This window comes from Homo sapiens, chromosome 1 (assembly GCF_000001405.40).
Source record: "Homo sapiens chromosome 1, GRCh38.p14 Primary Assembly".
NCBI lineage: Eukaryota > Metazoa > Chordata > Mammalia > Primates > Hominidae > Homo > Homo sapiens.
In genome coordinates, this window is record NC_000001.11 from 17,937,646 (window position 1) to 17,959,267 (window position 21,622).

A 21,622-nucleotide genomic window follows, 5' to 3' on the forward strand; every position below is an offset into this window, starting at 1 on the left:
CGATCTCCGCTCACTGCAAGCTCCGCCTCCCGGGTTCACGCCTTTCTTCTGCCTCAGCCTCCTGAGTAGCTGGGAGTACAGGTGCCCACCACGATGCCTAGCTAATATTTTATATTTTTAGTAGAGATGGGGTTTCACCATGTTAGCCCGGATGGTCTTGATCTCCTTACCTTGTGATCTGCCCACCTTGGCCTCCCAAAGTGCTGGGATTACAGGCGTGAGCCACCATGCCCAGCCAGAATCATTTCAATAATAACTATTTGTGGAATTATTATAACGTTGGTGGTTACCTACTATGTGTCAGTGACTATTCTAAGCACTTTGACATCAATACTCATAGTAACTCTGTAATATAGGAACTGTGATTATCTCATTTTTATAGATGAGAAAACAGACACAGAGAGATTGTGGTCATTTATCCAAGGTTATACAGTTAATAAATGATGGAGCCAGAAACAGAACCTTGGCAAGCTGGCTTTACAGCCTTTAAGCTGAATGTCTTTGTGGTATTGGACCACTCTTTCCACATGTCTGGGTCTCAGTTTTCCCATCCGTACAATGAATTGTTAGGGTGAGGTAATGTTTAAGAATTCTTTCAATGAGAACTCTCTTTGGATTCTCTTCTATCCATTCTCTTCTATGGAGACTATGATGTCTCCATAGTTAGCAGCCTCCTGCTTGTAGAAATGTGGTTGGGACCCTACAGGGCTGAGGAGGAGAGTACCAACAAGTTCTTATTTCTAGGACAGTTTTGGTCTAGAAGCATAAACAGGGGAATGGGTGATAGCTTGAATACGTCAGAGACTCTGGACTGTGTTAGATTATATTGTTTTCCCTCAATTCTTTCCATCTCTCCCTTGCCATGGCTTCTTGCCATGCATAGAATATACTTTCCCACTGACTTTGGACTTGGCCATGGGACTTGCTTTGGCCAGTGGAATGTGGGTGGAAGTAATTGTGTGCTAGTTCCAAGACAAGCTCTTCAGAGCCACGGCAAATTCCCAAAAGCATTCTTGATGCTCCATTCCCCACAGGAGAGCCTGAGCCTTGGGGCTTCCTAGAATCAAGACACATGGAGCAGACCTGGTCCCTTTGAAGGCTTAGAGTTCAGCCTGGCCCAACTTAATCCAGCCAAAATCAGCTGAACTGTATTTGACCTAGAAACCTGTGAATATGAAATACATATTTTGTGGTATGAGCCACTGAGACTTTGGGACTGTTTGTTATGTATCGTTAGTATAGAGGAAACCTGATCAGTATGTAGACTAAGCACCAGACCAGTGTGAGTGTAGCAACCTTGTTGAATTATATTGTTCATAGTCAGAATGAGATCTAACATTAGCAGTAACCCTTAAGCAAACAGAAAACATTCAGACTTTTCTTCCTCTCTCAGTCCTTGCTAGGCAACATCTTAGGTATGACCTGACCAGACAATAGAATGACTTTTTTTTTTTTTTTTTGAGATGGAGTCTTACTCTGTTGCCTAGGCTGGAGTGCAGTGGTGCCATCTTGGCTTGCTGCAACCTCCGCATCCCGGGTTCAAGCGATTCTCATGCCTCAGCCTCCCGAGTAGTTGGGATTACAGGTGTGTGCCACACCTGCCTAATTTTTGTATTTTTAGTAGAGACAGGGTCTCACCATGTTGGCCAGGCTGGTCTTGAACTTCTGACCTTAAGTGATCCACCCGCCTTGGCCTTCCAAAGTGCTGGGATTACAGATGTGAGCCACCACACCTGGCCTAGAATGACTCTTCTTGGTTCTATTACAGCCAATGAAGCTACATTTCCTCTGATAATCAAGCATGCCTCCAAAGGAAGTACTCAGGCACAGCCTTCTAGAATAAAAGGCTTGAGTGGGCAAAGCCCATTTCCTTGCCATTTGTCCTGTCCTCTCCATCACTTGGAAATACTTAATACAGAACCAGGACCTCCATGGTTTGATCCAGGGCATGGAAGAGTCTGTTTTGGATGATTTGAAATGTTAAGCAGTGAAGGGAGATAGCTCAGGAAAAAGGTTGATGTGTCCCCTCTTTCTGCCCCCTGAATCTGTTATACGCGTGTGAGTGGTTTCAGTAGTATGCTGAGAGGAAGATGGAAATGGTGGGGAAGGAACTTGGAAAACTTCTATAATTTTGGAGCTCAGACAATCTTTATGAAAATCTCTCTTTCTGATTCAGGCTTGGTTTGGGTATTACCCAACTCCCTTGATATAGCACATGCCAATAAAATCTTCTAAGATCTTGCCAGCCTGTTGTCTTTGTTCTCAGGACCTGACCCTGGGGCCCTGGGGCCGTCGCTACCGTGGTGAATCGGTCCCAGTGTTCACCACTCACAGATACCATCTCACCAAACCTTGTATTCGGTTCCTACTGCTGCTTAAAACAACACACGTTCACTCTCCTACGATCTGGAGGTCAGAGGTCTGAGAGCAGTTTCACTGAACTAAAGTCAAGGTGTTGACAGGGCTGGTTCCTTCTGAAGGCTCTGAGGGAGAATTTGTTTCCTTGCCATTTCCAGCTTCCAGAAGCATCTGCAGTCCTTAGCTTTTAACCCCTTCCTCTCATCAGTGCAGCCTACCACTTTCATCATCACATCATCTACTACTGACTCGGAGCCTCCTGCCTCCTTCTTATAAGGCCTCTCGTGATTACATTGGGCCCGACCAGAGAATCCAGGGCACTCCTTGTTTCAAGATCTGCAAAGTCCCTTTTACCATGCTAGGTAACGTAGTTACAGGCTCCAGGAATTAGAATGTGGATGTCTTTGGGAGGCTACTGTTCTGCCAATCAAAGACCCTGACATTCCTTCCAGGGTAGAGAACACAGGCATTATCACCCAGTTATTTCCATTTTATAGTTGAGGAAACTGCAGCCAGTAAGTTGTAAATCCAGGAACAGAACCCAGATCTCTGACTCGTACTTTTTAAGCTAGAGTTATTGTTAATATTTACTCTTAATAATTTAATTAATAGTAATGAATTAGATGAATTAGAATACTTTTAATTCATCAAATGTTTGCAATGTCCTCAGCCCTGTTCCAAGACCATTTACATATGTTATGCACTATTGTAGCTTTGATGTTACAGATGAGATAACTGAGGTTTAGGGAATTCGGGAAACTTGCTTGAGCCATTACGTGATAGAGCTAAGATTAGAATCCAGGTCTTCTAATATGACTGTGTAGTAGATGCTGTTGATGATGCTTCCAGGTCCCCTTTACCAGGCCAATGCACCCATCCCCAGCTGCTGGGAGTGCTGGCTGCTAACAGCTCACAGGTGTCCTCTTCTCCTGAGAATTTCCCTCAGCCCCCAGAAGTCATTGCACCAGGAAATGCCTGGAAGATTACACCCTCCCTGCAGGGTAGCCCCAGGAAGTAGTAGCTGATTGATCCAGGGTATATACTGCTGATGCCCTTCACTCAAGGTGGGACAAGTCTTTGACATCACGCTGCAGAGCTCCTGTGGGATTAGGATGAGGCTAGATTTCAGCTGACCCCACCTCTTTATTTTGCTTTTTCCCCTGCCCCCATCGTACTTTACTCACTCCTAACTTTCCTGAGAGTGCTCCTTCAATCAATCGCTTACATGGGAATTTCCCTCTCAGGCTCTTCTTGTAGAAAACCTGACCTAAGACACCATATCAAGTAGGTTTGATCCTGAAAGCAGAACTAATAGGAATGATAAAGAATAAAAAATTTGTTTTAGGGATTTGGCCTCCTGCAACCATGGGAACGAGTGAAACAGTCTATGTAAGGTTGTTGCTTCTGCATCTGGTGTTGATCCTGAAGTCAGCCAGCAGGCAACTGGGAAAAAAAAAAAGATGCTTGTGAAGTGGGGAAGACAATGACTCCTGCAAAGAACAAGCTAGAACTCACAGTGATGAGCTAGAACTTGTGTGTGTCTCTCACCACCCGCCAGCTTGCAACTCCCATGATGCAGGTGACCTGCAGAAGAAGCCAGCATGCTTCATCATGGAGCTGCACGGCACCCAGCCCAGGACCCAGAGATGCTGGCTGAGATGTGGCAGGAACTGGGGTTGCTGTGGGCCCAGCTGCTGCCCCACCCCAACAAGTTGAGCCAGGAGATCGGCAACCATGTGTGAGAACCATGCCTGATCCTCCCCTGACTTCTAAATGCAACATGACTGCTGCTTCACTTCACTTTGCCTTCCAAATTTCAAGCAAATTTATCTGCTGCCAACCTAACTCAGAAGGAGAAAGTTAAAGGTATTCTAAGAAATGTTATTTCCAGCTTAGTTAAATTGACCCTGCACAAAACCACCGTAGGCTACCCCCTGTCAACATGGCACACCCACACGCTTCTTTTAACTATATTTAACTTCCAAATTAAGCATGCAAAAGCATGCTTCCTCCTAACATAATGCAACTGTCCCTTGTAAAACTGAAAACACGCTACACTAACCTTCTTTTCAAAATATGACACAAAGTCTCTTTTGTACCTCCTCTTTGGGTGAGGTTCATTCCTTTCCTAGCTGAGTCAAATTCCTTCTTAGACCTCTTATTTAAATTCTGAATGATAAGGTTAGCTACTGTTAACAAATCCTATGTTAGATGGTAGGGGAATGAGAGAGGAGGAGAAGAAGTAATTAACATATGCACAAATATTTTCATATCAAAATAAGGAAGAAATACTCACTGTCTATTACTGTCCTCTTTTCTTCAACTGGTCATGTGGTTGTAGTTGGTATTTATAATTTCCTTCTGCTGCCCATTTCTTATCCCATTTGCTCTCAGCAAGAACCTTGGCCTATTATGGTTCCTTGCATGATTGAGTGACTCAAACCTTCCCTGTTTAAGGATCTAGGCTGTTAGCTGTCCTGAGTCTTATGGGTGGTTGTAGTTTTCATTGATGTTATCACAGGGCATGCATATACTAACAGGTGCCTGTTGGGATATCTTCCATTCAAGGCATCTTCTTACTTATTTCCATTTTATAGTAATAACCTATATTTCTCCTTGATATTCAGGATTAATCACTCCAGCTGGTATAGAGACCCCTTTCTATATCCATTGATTCACTGGCATGGGGATCCCAAAGTTTTCAGACAGCACTCCCAACTCCAGTTTAATGGGAGCAGTGTTATGTCCCCTGGTGAAGGCATTCCTTCTTTGGGAGCTGAGACCTCTGGACCAACATGGGGACAGAAAGCAAATATTTAGCTAGTGGATTACATAGGATAATGGTGAGAAGAGACACTCCCATTTCCACCCCTCAAGTCCCAGACCCGGCAATTTTGGTCGTGGGATGAATAGCACCATATCTTGTTTGCTGGTTTAAGAGAATAGACTGCATCTTGGAGGGTATTGCCCCAGCACTGCAAGGTGTTGCCACAAGGCTGGTGCCTTAACTGAGTCTTCAAAGGGCCATTCCATCGTTCCACCAGGCCAGCTGCTTCAGAATGATGAGGAACATGGTAAGACTAGTGGACGACCTGAACGTGGGCCCCCTGGTGCCCATCCTTTGCTCTGAAGATTTCCTGAGTCAGAAGCAAAGCTATATGGCATGCTGATGGTGAATGAGGCATTCTGCAAGGTCACAGATGGTGGTTTTGGCAGAGGCCCTGTGGTCAGGGAAGGCAGATCCATGTCTGGGCAAGGATCTAGGTAAGTGAATGAGAATGAAGCATGGGGCTGTACTGTAGGGCCACATTGGGAGTTCAGTGTTGGGCTCTGCTGTTGGTACTTGGGCATTGGCAGTGACTGTAGCCTAGTCAGCCTGGAAGAGTGAAAGTCCAGGTTGCTGAGTCCTTACATAGTTTCCATCCCCTTCCCTGTGGCCGTTTTGATCATGAGCCCATTGGATAATGATGGGGGCTGGGTCTTGGGAACTAAATGGATCATCTTGTCCACCCAATTAATAAGATCCTCCTATACTGAGGTCACTCTTCTGTGAATATTTACATGGGACACACATACTATCACCTTGTCTACCAATTCAGAAAGTTCTAGCTGTATAGTTCTTCTCAAGACCTCCTTCACCAATTTTCCAATTATAGAAAATTATTTTGTGATAATTATTTTGTAGTAATAATAATAATTATTATTTTTATAATTATTATTATATTATATATAGTATAATAATTATTTCTACAAAAGAATAATTAGGTAATAATTATTATTATTTCCAATTATGGCCCAAGGGCCTGACTATTCAGCCAGACCACGAGCCACAGCCTATGAATCCACAGGCTGTGGCCGTTTCTCCCCACAGGCTAAATAAGCAATCAGGTTCACTGCTCAGTTATGCCCCTGGAGGATTGTCCGTCACCATTGTCCCAAAGTGCAGGCTGTGCTGTTGCAGTTGCCCTTCTGGGTAGCACCAGTATGTTGTGCAGAACTATGTGTCAGCCAGAATCAGTTGTGACCTTTCACAGTCCACTTATCTCAGGGCATGCCACATGGGTTATCGGTGTGGGTTGAGGGAGAGGAAGGATGCAGTCTGAAGAGTAGACGGGGCATGGGGAGTGTTCGCTCATACAACTGACTTGCGTCTTCATGGCCTGTTCGAACTGATATTGTATATGCCACTTCCATTTTATGATAAAATTGCTGTCGTGCGTGCCTGATTTTATGGTTTGGTTGGTTAGGCAAAATCCAGTCCATGACAGGCAGCTCAGAAGACACCATAACGAGTGGCTCATAGTCAAGCTTTCAATCTCTATTAATGCCCAGTAGCCTTCCAGACGTTGTTTCTCAGAAGGAGAATAATTATTTTCAGAGAATGTTGTACTTTCCCCCCAAATCATAAGGGCCTGTGCTGTGAGTCACCCAAAGGGGTCTGCCAAGGTCTCCGTACAGCATCCCTCTCAGCCACAGACTTTGTCTGCTGGTCACACAGCCCATGTGGCAGAGCAGCTTGCATGGCAGCCTGCACCTGTTGGGGGATGGATGCACAGGTCTTGCATGATAAATCCACTTCAGCATTCCAACACCCCCAAGCCTTTGGTTACCTTTCTTTACAACCTATCAAGGAGATGCTGGCATTAGAACTTTACTTAGTGTAAGCCACCTCTGCATCCAGGTTTTAGTCAATCAACCAAGCAAATAGTTAGGGCCAGTCTGAGCTGCTTGAGCCAACACACTGGATCCAGAATCTCCGCTTAATGCATTCATGGCAATGAATTTGGCCTGACTGGACACCCTCAGGGGCCATTCCTAGAACTACAAAGAGAAGGGAATTCTGGGAAATGTAGTTCCAGCTGACTATCATGCCACCGTCCAAAGCATTGCCGACACACTGCCTTCCTCTACCTGGCTGTCTTTTTCAGCTTCCAGATGAAATTACATCTTGTTTTCCCTTTCAGTGGAATGGGTCTCTTTTTAGAGCTACGAAGCTAAGTGCAATGACATGCTTTCCCCAGATTAAAACCAAAGGTCACTGCCACTTCCTTTGAGGCCTCAGAGTCACTGCCATCTTGTATTGGGAGTCCCTCTGTGGTGTGGCATGGTGGCTCACACCTGTAATCCCAGTGCTTTGGGAGGCCAAGATGGGAGGATTGCTTGAGGCCAAGAGTTTGAGACCAGTCTGGTAAAATAATAATAATAATAATAAAATAACAGAGTCCTGCTATCTCTGTATTGATAATAGCTCCCCACCTACAAGTTGCTCTCAGCAATTGACACACACCCTGCCACTTAATTCTGACAACTTTATGATGAAGTAATTATTATCCCCATTTTGTAGATGTGGAAACTGAAGCCAAGAGAGCAAACTTGTGCAATTGACAAGGGATAGAACTGCAATTCAAAATCAGTTCCCTGCCTCTATTGCCAGGGCAGGTTGTAGGGAACTTTCTGCCCCCTCCCCCTTTTTTTCCAGCTTGAGTTAAAATCCATTCCAGGTCATTGGAGAGGGATTAGATATGGAATCCCAGAACCATAGATTGTCCTTGCTGGATGGGGCCCTCAATAACAATTTAGAGTTGGGAAAATTAAAGAAGTTGAAATTGAGGCAGTTCGTCCAAGGCAAGCCAATGGGACATTAACAGGACCTGGGTCAGAGGGTGATGGCCACAGCTGTGTTTAGGGGATGAGAGTGAAGTGGGGGAAAGAGCTTGCAGTTCCAAACGTGCCTGATGCTGGGATTCACATCATCCTTAGACCAACATTGTGCCTGTTCAGAGAATCACATTCTTTTTCCTGACTTACCCTCTGGTCCCAGCAGGCAGGTACAGCTGGCCAGCTTGGCTGTAACCAAGCTTCACCACCTGCCCACCTCATTGGCCAGACAGCTTTAGAGAGAGTCCCTTTGGGCCAGTCCCCAGAGGTCACTTGGATTTCCTTGGCCTCATTTGGTTCCAAGGGAGCTGGAAGTCTCTTCTTGATTTGTTTGTTCTAAAAGAGTGAGGGGTCCCACGGAGGCAGATGACCTATTTCTTGAGGACTGGCCTGACTGTGTGCTCAAATAAAAAGACACAAGAAACTTGGTCTTCTTTCAGGCTCATCTAGATCCAGCTGATGTGGACATTCCTATTCCAGTGCTGGCATCTATAGTTTAGTGGGGGACGTTCTCTGGGGTATCCAGCAAATGCATCATGGCCTGGACATGTGGGCCTGAAAGGTCTCTATCTCTACTTAGTGCTCTAGGAAACAGTAGGCACTGGCTGAATAAGGCTTAGGTGGGATTCATGCATTCATTCAGTAAACACCCTTGAGCTCCTTTAGTGCGTGGACCAGTACTGCTGGCAGAGAGGTATCAATGATAGAGCAGGAGATGCCTTGCCCTTGCAGGAATACATTCTAGTGGGGAAAGACGGGCAACTAAGCAAAAGCAAAATAAATAGCTATATTATATGCTGTGGTAGAGGTAATATGCGATATAAAAGAAACAAACACAACATGGTAAGGGGGAGCAGGGATGAGGGCAGGGGGACAAGTTGCAGAATTAAGAAGGTGGTGAGGGAGGTGGCCATGTGGGTGTCTGGGGAGGAGCATGTCAAGGAGAGGATACAGCAAGTGCAAAGGCCCTGGGGCAGGGAAGTGCTGGTGTGTTCCAGGAACAGCAAGGAGGCCATTGTGGTTGGAGCAGAGGGAAGGAGGGAGAGACATAGGAGAGGAGGTCAGAGAGATGGGAGGGATGGGGGCAGATGCTACTTCTAATTCAACCATGGGAAGGACTCAGCTTTTTCTTTTCTTTCTTTCTTTGTTTTTTTTTTTCTTTTTTCTTTTCTTTTCTTTTTTTTTTTTTTTTTGAGACAGGGTCTTGCTGTGTTACCCAGGCTAGAGATCATGGCTCAATGAAGCCTGAACCTCCTAGGCTCAATCAATCCTCCCATCTCAGCCTTCTGAGTAGCTGGGACTACAGGCATGCATCACTGCACCAGGCTAATGTTTGTATTTTTAGTAGAGACGGGATTTTGCCATGTTGCCCAGGCTAGTCTCGAATGTCTGACCTCAAGCAATCTTCCTACCTCGGCCTCCTAAAGTGCTAGGGTTACAGGCATGAGTCACTGTGCCCGGGCTTTGTTTTTTTTTTTTTTTGAGGCAGGGTCTTGCTCTGTCACCCAGGCTGGAGTGCAGTGGCGTGATCACAGTTCACTGCAGCCTGGACCTCCTAGGCTCAATGGATCCTCCTGTCCGGACCTCCTGAGTAGCTGGGACTACAGGCATGCACCACAGCGCCAGGCCAATTTTTGTATTTTTCTGTAGAGATGGGGTTTCGCCATGTGACCCAGGCTGGACTCATCTTTTGCTCTCAGTGAGATGGGGAAGCGTTGCAGAGTGTTGAGCCAAGGAGCGACAGGATCCGACCTACCTTTGTAAAAGGTGCCTCAGGCTACTGTGTGGAGAACCCACTTCGGGGAGTCAAGGGAGGAGGGTGTTGCAGTAACCGGGTGAGAGATGATGAGGACATAGACCAAGATGACTGTGGGGGAGCAGGTGAGTAGCCATCAGATTTGTGGATGTATTTTGAAGGTGGATCCAATAGAATTTGCTGATGGGTTAGAAGTAGGGGGGTGAGAGGAACAGGGTCAAAGATGATGCCGAAGTTTTCAGTCTGAACAACAGAATGGATGGATACCAAGTGGAACTTCCTGACTAGCTCTGCCACTTACTGACTAAGATACCTTGGACCAGTTAGTTACTTAACAGCTCTGTGCCTCAGTTTCCCCAAATGTAAATCAAATGTAAATTTGGGAGAATAGCGGTCCGAGCTTCATGAGGTTATTATGAAGACTGACCTGCTACATAGTAAGTACTCAGTAAACATTAACTCTCATTATTATTATTAATTATTATTATTATTGTTGGTGGTGGTGGTGTAGAATCTAGCCCTGGAGTCAGCAGACTCCAACCTGTAGGACATGTTTTTGTAAAGAATCACTGGGGCCAGGCGTGGTGGCTCACGCCTGTAATTCCAGCACTTTTGGAGGCCGAGGCGGGTGGATCATGAGGTCAGGAGATCGAGACCATCCTGACTGACACGGTGAAACCCCGTCTCTATTAAAAATACAAAAAATTAGCCAGGCGTGGTGGCGGGTGCCTGTGGTCCCAGCTATTCGGGAGGCTGAGGCAGGAGAATGGCGTGAACCCGGGAGGTGGAGCTTGCAGTGAGCCAAGATTGCGCCACTGCACTCCAGTCTGGATGACAGAGTGAGACACCGTCTCAAAAAAAAAAAAAAAAAAAAAAAAAAAAAAAGAATCATTGGGCCAGGGCTATGCTCATTTGTTTACATATTGTCTGTGGCTACAGTGGACGAGTAGGAGAGCTGCAAAGCCAAAAGTATGTCCTGCCCAGCTCTTTACCGAAAGTTTGCCCATCCATGCTCTACACCAAATTGGCTCCCTTTCAGAGCATGTTTCAGCACAGATTTCTCATGCTTTTTCAGAGGTGGGGGTTGGTCCAATCCTGCACCAGGATGGGGTGAGGGTTCAGTGGATGATGTTCCTGTCCCCCTGCCCTCACCCTGAAACTGTCCCACCCAGGCCCAGAGCTCAGTGTGATGGTGGCTCTAGGAGAGATGCCTGGAGGTGCGCATCCCCCTGTCCCCTCCCCGCCACCCTCTCCCGAGCATGTTGTTTGTGGTAATCGCATGCCCATCACAGCGCTTGGGCGACATGACACTATAGAATTACACGGCTGAGTGGAGGGATTAATAGCTGATGGGGTGGGTGGCCCTGGAGAGTCGGATGCTGATCCACCAGTAGCTCGGGCATGCACCCCACCCCCATCCCTCCCTCCCTGTCATGCTCCCAGGCACTGCAGGGGCCTCTCCAGGCCAAGGCATTCATCAGTGATGCAGGAAGGAGACAGACCAGCTTGGGAAGCACCTGGCTGGCATCTGATGCAGCTGTGCCCCCTCACTGGCTGTGTGAACCTGAGGGAGTCACCTGGCTTCTCGGAAGGATTGTTTCAAGGATGGGAGATGATCCCATTTGTATGTGTGGCCCAGGGTGGAAACATCTCCTCAGGGAGCGTGGTGGCCTTTTGACTTCCTGACATTAAGGGCCCAACACAGAGCTTAGCATGTGACAGGAGCTCAGAAAATAAGTGCCGAGTGAGTAAAAGGCAGGAGCGCAGAGCCTGCATGGATGTGGTGCCCAATTATCATTGCTGTTGATGATATTAATTTTATTATTAGCTGTTTTATTTAGTTGCTATTGATGATAATAACAATTTTACTCCGAGGTCGATTCTTGGAAGCCTTCCTTTGGCCAGCCTGCAGGAACAGGCATGAGTTTCCAGACACTGGTGGGGTTTTTCCAGCCGGGAGCGGGAAGAAAAGAGCTGCGGTTTTGGAGGATGAGGCTGTGGAGGGTGAATGCCTTTGGATTCCCACTGGAAGGTGGGCGAGAGAGCAAAGGCATGGGTAGCTCTGACACATAGAGACAAGTGAGGGATGAAAAGAAAGAAAAAAAGATTGACAGATAAATAAATAGAAGACGGAAGCAAAGGTAGATGGGCAGGTTGCCAGACAGGCAGATAAATAGATAGGTAAGTGATGGCTGGTGTCCTCTGCTCAGCCCCTCCTCCTCTCTCACTCGCCCCTCCACTGTCGCACACTCATAATAAGACAGAAAAAGAGCCCGACGTTGACTCAGCACCTTAGGGGGCTGAAGACTTAGGGGAAATTCTGAGGGCAGCCGGGCCACATCGCCTCTGTCTGCCTTTATGAGAAGGAACTAAAGATTCAGATCAAAGGGTGAGTTTGGACCAAAAGAGGCAGACTGGTAGGGGTGTGGGCTGGAAAGAGGTGCGACTGGAGGCAGGAGCTGTGGATTTGAGACTCAGCTTATCCACTGTTTTTTTTTGAGACAGAATCTCGCTCTGTCACCGGGCTGGAGTGCAGTGGTGTAATCTCGGCTCACTGCAACCTCCGCCTCCTGGGTTCAAATGATTCTCCTGCCTCAGCCTCCTGAGTAGCTGGGACTACAAGCGTGTGCCACCATGATCAGCTAATTTGTGTATTTTTTTTTTTTTTGAGATGGAGTCTCACTCTGTTGCCCAGCCTGGAGTGCAGTGGTGCGATCTAGGCTCACTGCAAGCTCCACCTCCTGGTTCATGCCATTCTCCTGCCTCAGCCTCCCGAGTAGCTAGGACTACAGGTGGCCGCCACCACGCCCAGCTAATTTTTTTGTATTTTTAGTAGAGACAGGGTTTCACCATTTTGGCCGGGATTGTCTTGATCTCCTGACCTCGTGATCCCCTGCCTCAGCCTCCCAAAGTGCTGGGATTACAGGCATGAGCCACCGCGCCTGGCTGAGACTCAGCTTATCCACTCTTTTCTTTTTTTTTCTTTTCTTTTTTACTCTTCTTTTCCTCCTCTCTTCTCCTCTACTCTCTCTCTCTCTGTCTCTCTTTTTTTTTTTTTTTAATGAGACAGAGTCTTGCTCTGTCACCCAGGCCTCACTGCAGCCTTGACCTCCTGGGCTCAAGCAATCCTCTCCCCTCAACCTCTCAAAATGTTAAGATTACAGGCATGAGCCACCGAGCCCGGCCAGCTATCCATTTTTTTTTTTCTGATTCTGTGACCTTGAGCAAATTTATGCTTTTCTGGGCCTCAGTTTCATCTCCTGTCCTTTGAGCTGCTGTGCAGGTCATGAGGAGAGGTGCCATGCCACTGCCAGGGGTGGTGATTATGGACACCCATCTGACATTGGGCTAGGGGAGTTGAGTGACAAAATGCAAAGCATTCAGTGATGATGTGAATGCTGTGGGTGTGTGCTCACCCATGTGTGGGTCTGTCGGCCTGCCTGGGTCGGAGCTGGACTGTGACACTGGGTGATCAGCGTCACAGTCAGGCAGACTGTCCGCCTCGTGGGGGAGCTGTGCGTGTGGGATCTCGCTTCCCTTGAGTCATAGCTATTGCGGGCCCAGGCACGCCGCTGGAAGCAGGGCATGCTTTGCTGGTCCCCGGTCTCACCATCACCCTGCAAAGTCACCTTGACATCTGGAGGCAGGACTGGCTATGTAATTTGCAGAACCCTGGGCATAATAAACACGTGGGGTCTCTTGTTAAAAAAATTATTGAGAATTTCAGGATGGCAACAGCAGAAGAGTAAACCAAGTCCCTTGTGCCTGCACAGACTGCACTCCGCAAAGCCCACCCTGCCTTGGGCCACACGGTCCCTTGACTAGTGAGGTCAGGGTGAGAACAGGGGCTATGAGCTGTACTCTCCTCGGTTCTCCCACTTACTAGGTCTGTGAAATTGGACAGGACACTTAATCTCTGTGCCTCCCTTTCCTCATCTGTAAAATGGAGATGATAGTACCTACCTCCTATGCTTTTTGTGTCAATTAAACGAGTGAATACCTTCAGCACTGGCCACTGTGCCCACCACAGGTATACAATAAATATCAGTGATTGTCATCATCCTGCTGGCCAAGTTACAGAGGCAGTAAGCGACAGGGTCTGAAGACGGAACCAGAGCTGTGCAAATCCAAACCTCTCCCTCCAGGACAGATTCCAAAGTTAGCCTTTCCCAGGCTCTGGGGCTCAGAAATGGGCAGAAGTTTGCTTTTTCCCTAGAGGAGCTCATGGCTATCCCTTTAAGAGAAAATCCGTGGCCTACTGACGCTGGTTATGAGCCCCCATCTAGCCTTGAATCATGGGGAGCCTGTTCCTGGTACCTTTCTATTCTTTCCTTGTCAAGGAGCCGCTGATGCTCACTTTCCCTGATCTCACCTGCATCTGAAGGTAGGGGCTGCAGAGGGGAGGCTCAGGGACAGGTGAAGGCTAATGAGGGGTGCCCGCAGTGGGAGGGGAAAGTGGAGGAGGGACAGTGGGAAGCAGGGCAGGTCTGCAATGCTCAGAGGCTCACCTATATCCAAGACCTTACCTCTGTGCTCAGGAGACTTTGGTCCAACCTTATGTATGAGACTTAGACACATACTTAGCTCATAGATGAGCACAGATTTAGATTTTAAAAAACAACAAAGAACAAACTTGGGCAGGTATTGCATATGTTGACATGGTGGATAGACCAGCCTTGGGTAGGAGCTTAGATAGGAAGCACTAAGAACTGGGCAGATCACGGAGGACTTCCTGGAGGAGCCACCGCTTCCACAGGCAATGTGGGGCTGGCAGCCATGTCTTGCCGTGCAGCCTTTCCCCTTCTCAGGGACAGCATGTTGCCCATCAGCAGCAGGCACGAAGTGGGGGCACCAGAAGGTCTAGAGCACCACTCTTTGCACCTAGGAGCCCACAGGTCTGGGCAGATCTGACCCTGTGGGTGGGGACACCGTGTGGAGCAGGTTGAGAGAGGGAGAGGCTGGCGGATGGCTCCTTGGGGACTGTGGGCCGGGGCCTGAGTTTGGCTTTTAGTGTAAGTGGTAGAAGGTTTGTGCGGAGTTCTAGGCAGAAACATGACTTGATTTGATTTACGCTTTAAAAAGATCACTCTGGTGATTGGTTGGAGAATGTGGGGTAAGGAGCCAGGAGTGCAGCTGACAGGCCAGTTAGAAGGTTTGCCGCATTATCCAGGCAGGAGGGGAGAGGGGTTGGATTCGGGCATGGGAGCTGGAGACCAATATACGTATTGGAGATTTACTTTAGACACTGAATTCCCAAGCCACGCCGCCAGTTTGGAGGTGGAGGCTGCAGGAAGAAGGATCAGGTGTGGCTCCCAGGGAGGAATGGGGGCTGGGGGAGAGGAGGAGAGGGAGAGGAAGATAAGATCCTGTTTGGGGCTTGCGGAGCCTGAGACGTTCGTGAGGCATGGATGGGGTTTGCTGATGAGGAAGCTTGGGGTTTAGGGGTGGGGCAGACTCACTTTCTCACGCCGGGTGTTTATTCTCCTCCCTGACAATGCTTTGACTCTCATGGAGAGACCTAAAGGTGGAATTCAGGCAGCAGGCGTGGGAGGTTGAGGGACTAGTTCGGGTGGGCACTTTCTTCAGGGGCCCTCAGATCCTCTCAGTGAGCGTTCCTCTATGCTGTCATGTGGGATGGTGGATCCTGTCTCTGAAATGAAGGATTTTATGTAGTCGGGATGGGAAGAGAAAGAGAAGAGGGAACCCAGAAAATGAGACAAACAAATGAGACCGAAATGGAGGGGGATGGAATTAGGAAGATGGAGCTGGAAAGAATGAGATGGAAAGACAGAGGGGGTGGAGATGGGGTCGAGAAGCAGGTGCCGGTGGGGCAGGGAGACCGAGACGGGGATGCGGGGGGCATTGGTCAGGGTCTCTGGGGAGACACTGGGCACGTGGTCAGGTGTAACTGAAGAGAGTTTAATGAAGGGGTCTTTTATAGAGATGTGGGCAGGGTGAGGGGAAGCCAGCGAGAGAAAGTGCCCAGGGAGCCGTGACCGTGAGGAGCCATGGCCCCTTCCCCAGCAAGTCCAAAGCCCAAGGTGAGGGAGCTGCTTCTAGAACCCAGCAGGTGATGGCAGGACCACTGGATAGGAGCTGCAGCTGCAGGATTGGCCAGTGCCCGAGGGGCCCCAAGGGAAGTAGAGGGGAGTCAGGTCTCGGGTTACTTTCTCCTCTGGCCTCCAACCCACCAGTACTTCCTGGTCAACTGAAGCCAGGGTCAGGGAGCCCTGGAGATGCACCTGAGAGGCAGCCTCTTGGGGCACAGAGCCAGGCACAGAAGCACAGGGCAGGGGTCTGGAAGGGCAAACAGAGAAAGCCCAGCACAGAGAAGAGGAGAAAGAAAGAGCAGCAGACTCATAGAAAGATGGGTTGGGGCGGACGTGGTGGCTCACACCTGTAATCCCAGCACTTTGGGAGGCCAAGGTGGGTGGATCACCGAGGTCAGGAGTTCGACACCAGCCTGGCCAACATGGTGAAGCCCCGTCTCTACTAAAAATACAAAAATTAGCTGGGCATGGTGGCGCGTGCCTGCAATCCCAGCTACTAGTGGGGCTGAGGTAGGAGGATTGCTTGAATCTGGGAGGCAGAGGTTGCAGTGAGCTGAGATTGTGCCACTTCACTCCAGCCTGGGCAGCAGAGTGAGACTGTCTCCAAATAAAAGAAAATAAATAAATAAATAAATAAATAAATAAATAAATAAATAAAGACGGGCTGGAGGAGGAGGGGAAGTTAGAAGGTAGAGACAGGAACAAGAAAAGCTGACCCAGGGCAATGGAGATTGACATTTAGGAAAGAAAAGGGCCATCAGCCGGGGATGTCACCTGTGCTGATTGGCCTTGGGTTTCCTTAGAGCCATGGGACTGGGGCCCTGCACAAAGCCTTTTTGTCCCTACAGGCAGGGCCCAGTCACCAAGCCAGAGCCCTGGGTGGCTGCAAACCCTGTTTCCCTCCACAGAGGCGTTTGTCCCCTCCCTCATGGTGACACATGCCAGACAGTTAAAAGAAAATTCCTGCTTTTGGGTTTTAATCTAATTAATTGCAGGCATTCCTGCCCCATCTTGCCATTCCCTCTGGGAGCCAGGGTTGCCCTGAGGATAAGGCTTTTGTCTTCTGAGCATCCTAATGCTAGCTGGTGGCTGGACCTCCTGCCACTCTACCTGGACTGAATTAAACCTGTGGGCCAGGACCTCAAAGGTGAGCCTTCAGGATGCTGGGTCCAGAGTGCAGGCCTGGGTGCCCTAAGCCAGCTCCTGGCTGGTGATGTGGCTTAGGAGGGTCCAGGTCTAGAAGATACCCCCCGACCCCTGTGCCCCCAGGTGATATGGGGTGATCAGGGAATGAAGTTTTTGCATTCTGATGTGCTTGAAGAAATGTTTCCCCCAGGTTATGGGGCTTCAAACTCTGTTTAAGGACTTTTGGGAAGAGAGAGAGGTGGTGGGAATCCGTGCAGGTAAGTCCAGAAAAGACCTGGGCAACACGGGGGACCTTCAGGTTGCTGCCAGCATTTTTTTTTCTTTTTTCTTTTCTTTTTCTTTCTTTCTTTTTTTTCTTTTTTTTTGAGATGGAGTCTTGCCCTGTCACCCAGGCTGGAGTGCAGTGACGCGATCTCGGCTCACTGCAACCTCTGCCTCCTGGGTTCAAGCGATTCTTCTGCCTCAGCCTGCTGAGTAGCTGGGTCTGCAGGTGCACACCACCACACCCGACCAATTTTTACATTTTTAGTAGAGATGGGGATTCATCATATTGGCCATGCTGTTCTCGAACTCCTGACCTCGTGATCCACCCACTTCGGCCTCCCAAAGTGCTGGGATTACAGGTGTGAGCCACCATGCCCGGCCGCTGCTGGCATTTTTTTGGTACCACTGAAGCCCAGTGTGCAAGGCAGCTGCCCAGAAGCATCTCTGCTTCTCTCTCCTGGAGCAGCGGAGAGCACAGCCTCTCCCAAAGTAGCCCAAACTTAGTCTCAGTGAGGGGAAGAGCAGGGAAATTAACACTGATCAAGCTTTCTAGCTGGTGCTGGAAGCCCTCTCCAACTAGCAGGAGTTGAGTAGAGTCTGGAGCCAGATGCTCGGGGTTGAACTGGCTCTGCCTCTGACCAGCTGTGCTTCTCCTTGGGCAAGTTGCTTAACCTCTCCGTGTCTACTCTAAAGGATTGTGATGAACAGTGAATAAAGCACACAGGTAAAGTGTTTGGATCAGAGCCTGTTAAACTGAGATGCTAGGTCCATGTTAGCTATTCTCCTGTTTCTTCTTTTAGACATTCCCCAAACCCCACAGGTGTGTCCTAGTAGGATCCTCATTTTATAGATGAGGAAAGTGAGGCCCAGGAGGGACATGACTCACTCAAAACCACGAAGCTGAGGAGGGGCACAGTGGGGCCACACTCAGGCCTGACTTGTGCCCGGCCTGTCCCTCTCCTGCTTCCTGCATCTGCAGCTGGGTGTGGCTAAGCACAGAGGGAAGGAAGAATTGAGGGTTCTGAAGGCTCCCAAGAGGTCCTCCTTGCTCCCCCAAGTCCCTTAACTGAGGCAGTGCTGTGGCACATCCCAGACTCACACGGACAGCCTGTCCCTTGTTCACATGCCAGGCCAGCAGAGAAGGGGAGCAGCCCTTCTCCTTGCTTCTCAGACTGTCAGATGCACTCCAGCTCAGGGAGGCAAGCAGCCAGCATGGGACTTCCCATTTCCTCACTAGAGGAGCATCTGTCCAGCTTCTCTGACAGGCTGCCCACTGTCTCTTGGCTCAGGAGCCAGGGAGACTGGTACCCGAGGATGGTTGACAGAACCTGTGGGGAGGGTGACAGGTAGTGGCCAGCCCCAGTGCCCACAGACAAGCTTTCCGCCCTGACAGCTGACTTTGATGGCCCAGCCTGGCTATCCTGACTCTAAGATCCATGAGAAAATCTCCCAGAATGGGTCAGATGAGAACAGGCTAGATGGGAAGGATGGAATTTACAAATGCTATTGTATTAGGGTGAGGATAGTAAAGCAGGCCTGTTGAGCCAGATTCCCCTTGCTGTGCCGCGAGTGAAAACCTCTGACTCTTATAATCTTTTTTTTTTTTTCTGAGACGTAGTCTCGCTCTGTCGCCTAGGCTGGAGTGCAGTAGCGTGATCTCAGCTCACTGCAAGCTCCGCCTCCTGGGTTCACACCATTCTCCTGCCTTAGCCTCCGGAGTAGCTGGAACCACAGGCGCCCACCACCTAAATAATTAGGCACTAAAAAATTAGCACCGGCTAATTTTTTTTTTTTTTTTTTTTTTTTTTGTATTTTTAGTAGAGACGGGGTTTCACTGTGTTAGCCAGGATGGTCTTGATCTCCTGACCTCGTGATCCGCCTGCCTCGGCCTCCCAAAATGCTGGGATTACAGGCGTGAGCCACTGCATCTGGCCTTCTGACTCTTCTAATCTTAGAGTTGGGAGTACAAGGTGGAGATTTCTTGGTACTATTACTTCATTTTCCAGATGGGGAAACTGAGGCTTAGAGATTGGAGATGGGTTACTTACTCAAGGCCACACAGCAAAACCTACATGACTGAGCTGGACTTAGAGCCCACATTTCTAGAGTCATAGACCAGCCTGTCTCCGAAGAGCTTTCCAGTCCTAGCCAGCATCAGGTCTCTGCCAAGCCAGCCTCCCATACCCCTGCCCCACCATGCCAAAAACAGTAGCTAATATGTATTGAGCACTTACTATGTGGCAGTCTCTGTTCCAAATGCTCTATAAGTATTCAGTTACTTTATCTCACTTCTTAGGAAGTAGTGGTATTATCCCCATTTCACACATGGGGAAACTGAGTCACAGAGAATAACTTGCCCAAAGTCATCCTACTAGAAAATGGCAGAGTCGGGATTTGAACCCAGACCATAGGGCTCCAGATTCAAAGTGACTGACAGCTTAGGAAGAGACAGCTTCCCAGGAGCCAATGCCCATTGCCCTCAAGTCGTTACCCACTTACAATCTAATTGCTTTTACGTGCTGCTGAATTCCTTTATAAAAGTCTTCTTTACTATGTCTTAATTGGAGAGTCCCAGGGCCAAAAAGTAGACAGATTCAAAGTGGTTTCATGAAATATAATACAGGAAAATGATATTCATCTGTGGGAAAAATCCTACAGCTAAAGGGAAAAAGATCAGAGCAAAGAGCCACAGAGAAAACTTTTGTCTGGTGACTGGCCTGGGACAGAAGTCGAGACAGGGATCTTTGGTGACTGCTTGGTCCCTCCTCGATGTGTAAACTTGCTGTCTTCCCACCCATCCCTGGACCTCAGGATCTGTAAAGGGGGGGTGTTGATCTAAGAGATTTTCTGTTTCAAGGCCCTTCCAGCTCTGAAGTTGGAGGGTGGGGTGAGCTCCTTTGGACAGTTCCTCTATTGCACAATGGGTTTGCATGAGAAAGGCCCATTGAGAATTCCCTGCCCTTTTCACAGGAATCTGCTCTCAAGTGAGGTTTTCCCACCTATCGTGGGGCTGGACAATTCCTTTTGTAGGGAAGATCCCCTTAGGTCTAACGTAAGAGCCCCCACTCCCATTCTATCTTTCTTCTTCAAGGATGCTTTCTGTCATTTTCTTCATGTCAGACAAAACTCAGAACAGGCCTGAATTTGCCATCGTGTGCTGGGGCGTGTCCAGGCCTGTCAGAGATGCCACTGATTGCTTCATTATGCTGTTGCTGAGCAAATTGAGCCAGAAGGGGAGAGAGTGTGCTCTTTCCTTCATCCCAGTTCGAGGCGCTCCATTCCCTCCAGTCATGCAAGATGGGAGGAGCACCTAAGCCCACCTGCTGCAACGCGAACCCCTCAGCCAACTCACCCCATGACCCTGGTGAGGTGGTCAGCTCCCTTGGGGGAGAGAGGAGTTGGGATGACCTGATCTTCCTCTGCAGTTCAGCATCTGAATATAACTCAAGATGCATCGCCTCCCAGTTGCTTAAGCACTGACCTAGTTCACTCGCCATTCTTCTATTCTTTCCTTCAATAATTTGGGAAATATTTACTGAGACCCTGCTGTGCGTCCTACTCTGAGATGGCATCTGGACTCTCTGGAGTTTGTGGAATGGTCAGAAGAAGGCTATAGCCTGTATTCAGCTGGACCTGGATTCAAGTCCTGACTCTTGCACTTAACAAGGTATAAGATTTAGGGGAGCTGCCTCCCTCCTCCAATCTTCCATGCCCTTACTTACAAAACAGGCATATGAGGATCGACCTCCTACAGTGGCTGGGAGGGGCCTGTCTGTTATCTATTCGGCACCTGGCATGGGGTTACATAAGTAACTGTTAAGTTTCTTTTTTCTATACTCTCCAATCCTGCCTTCACCCTCAACTCTGCATATGTTGTGACTTTTGCAAGTATGTTTTCTACTCACTGGATCAGACAGACTCTTAGGGTGCTCTCTTCTCTTCTAACAATCCCCTGATGTGGTTTGGCTCTGTGTCCCCACCCAAACCTCATATTCAATTGTAATCCTCCCTAATGTTGGGGGAGGGGCATGGTGGGAGGTGATTGAGTCATGAGGGCTGACTTCCCCCTTGTTGTTCTTGTGATAGAGTTCTCTTGAGACCTGGTTGTTTGAAAGCATGGAGCACTTCCTCCTTCGCTCTCTCTCTCTCCTGCTTTGCCATCTGAAGAGGGTGCTGGCTTCCCCTTCACCCTTCTGCCATGATTGTAAGTTTCCTGAGGCTTCCCCACCCATGCTTCCTGTACAATCTGAGGAATTGTGAGTCAATTAAACCTCTTTTCTTTGTAAATTACCCAGTCTCAGGTAGTTCTTTGTGGCTGTGTAAGAATGGACTAATACACCCCTCAAAGCAGGATCTGAGTTTTCCTTTGAGACTGGGAGCTCCCTGAGAA

The 21,622-nt window shown here is 48.6% G+C and overlaps 1 annotated feature.

Annotated features, from left to right (window-relative positions):
* Window positions 15,950-16,449: an enhancer, noted in NCBI's record as "H3K4me1 hESC enhancer chr1:18280089-18280588 (GRCh37/hg19 assembly coordinates)". NCBI's record gives its function as "activates a minimal SCP1, AML or CMV promoter by ChIP-STARR-seq in naive H9 embryonic stem cells {active_cell/tissue: H9 hESC(naive)}" and the evidence as "EXISTENCE:reporter gene assay evidence [ECO:0000049][PMID:30033119]".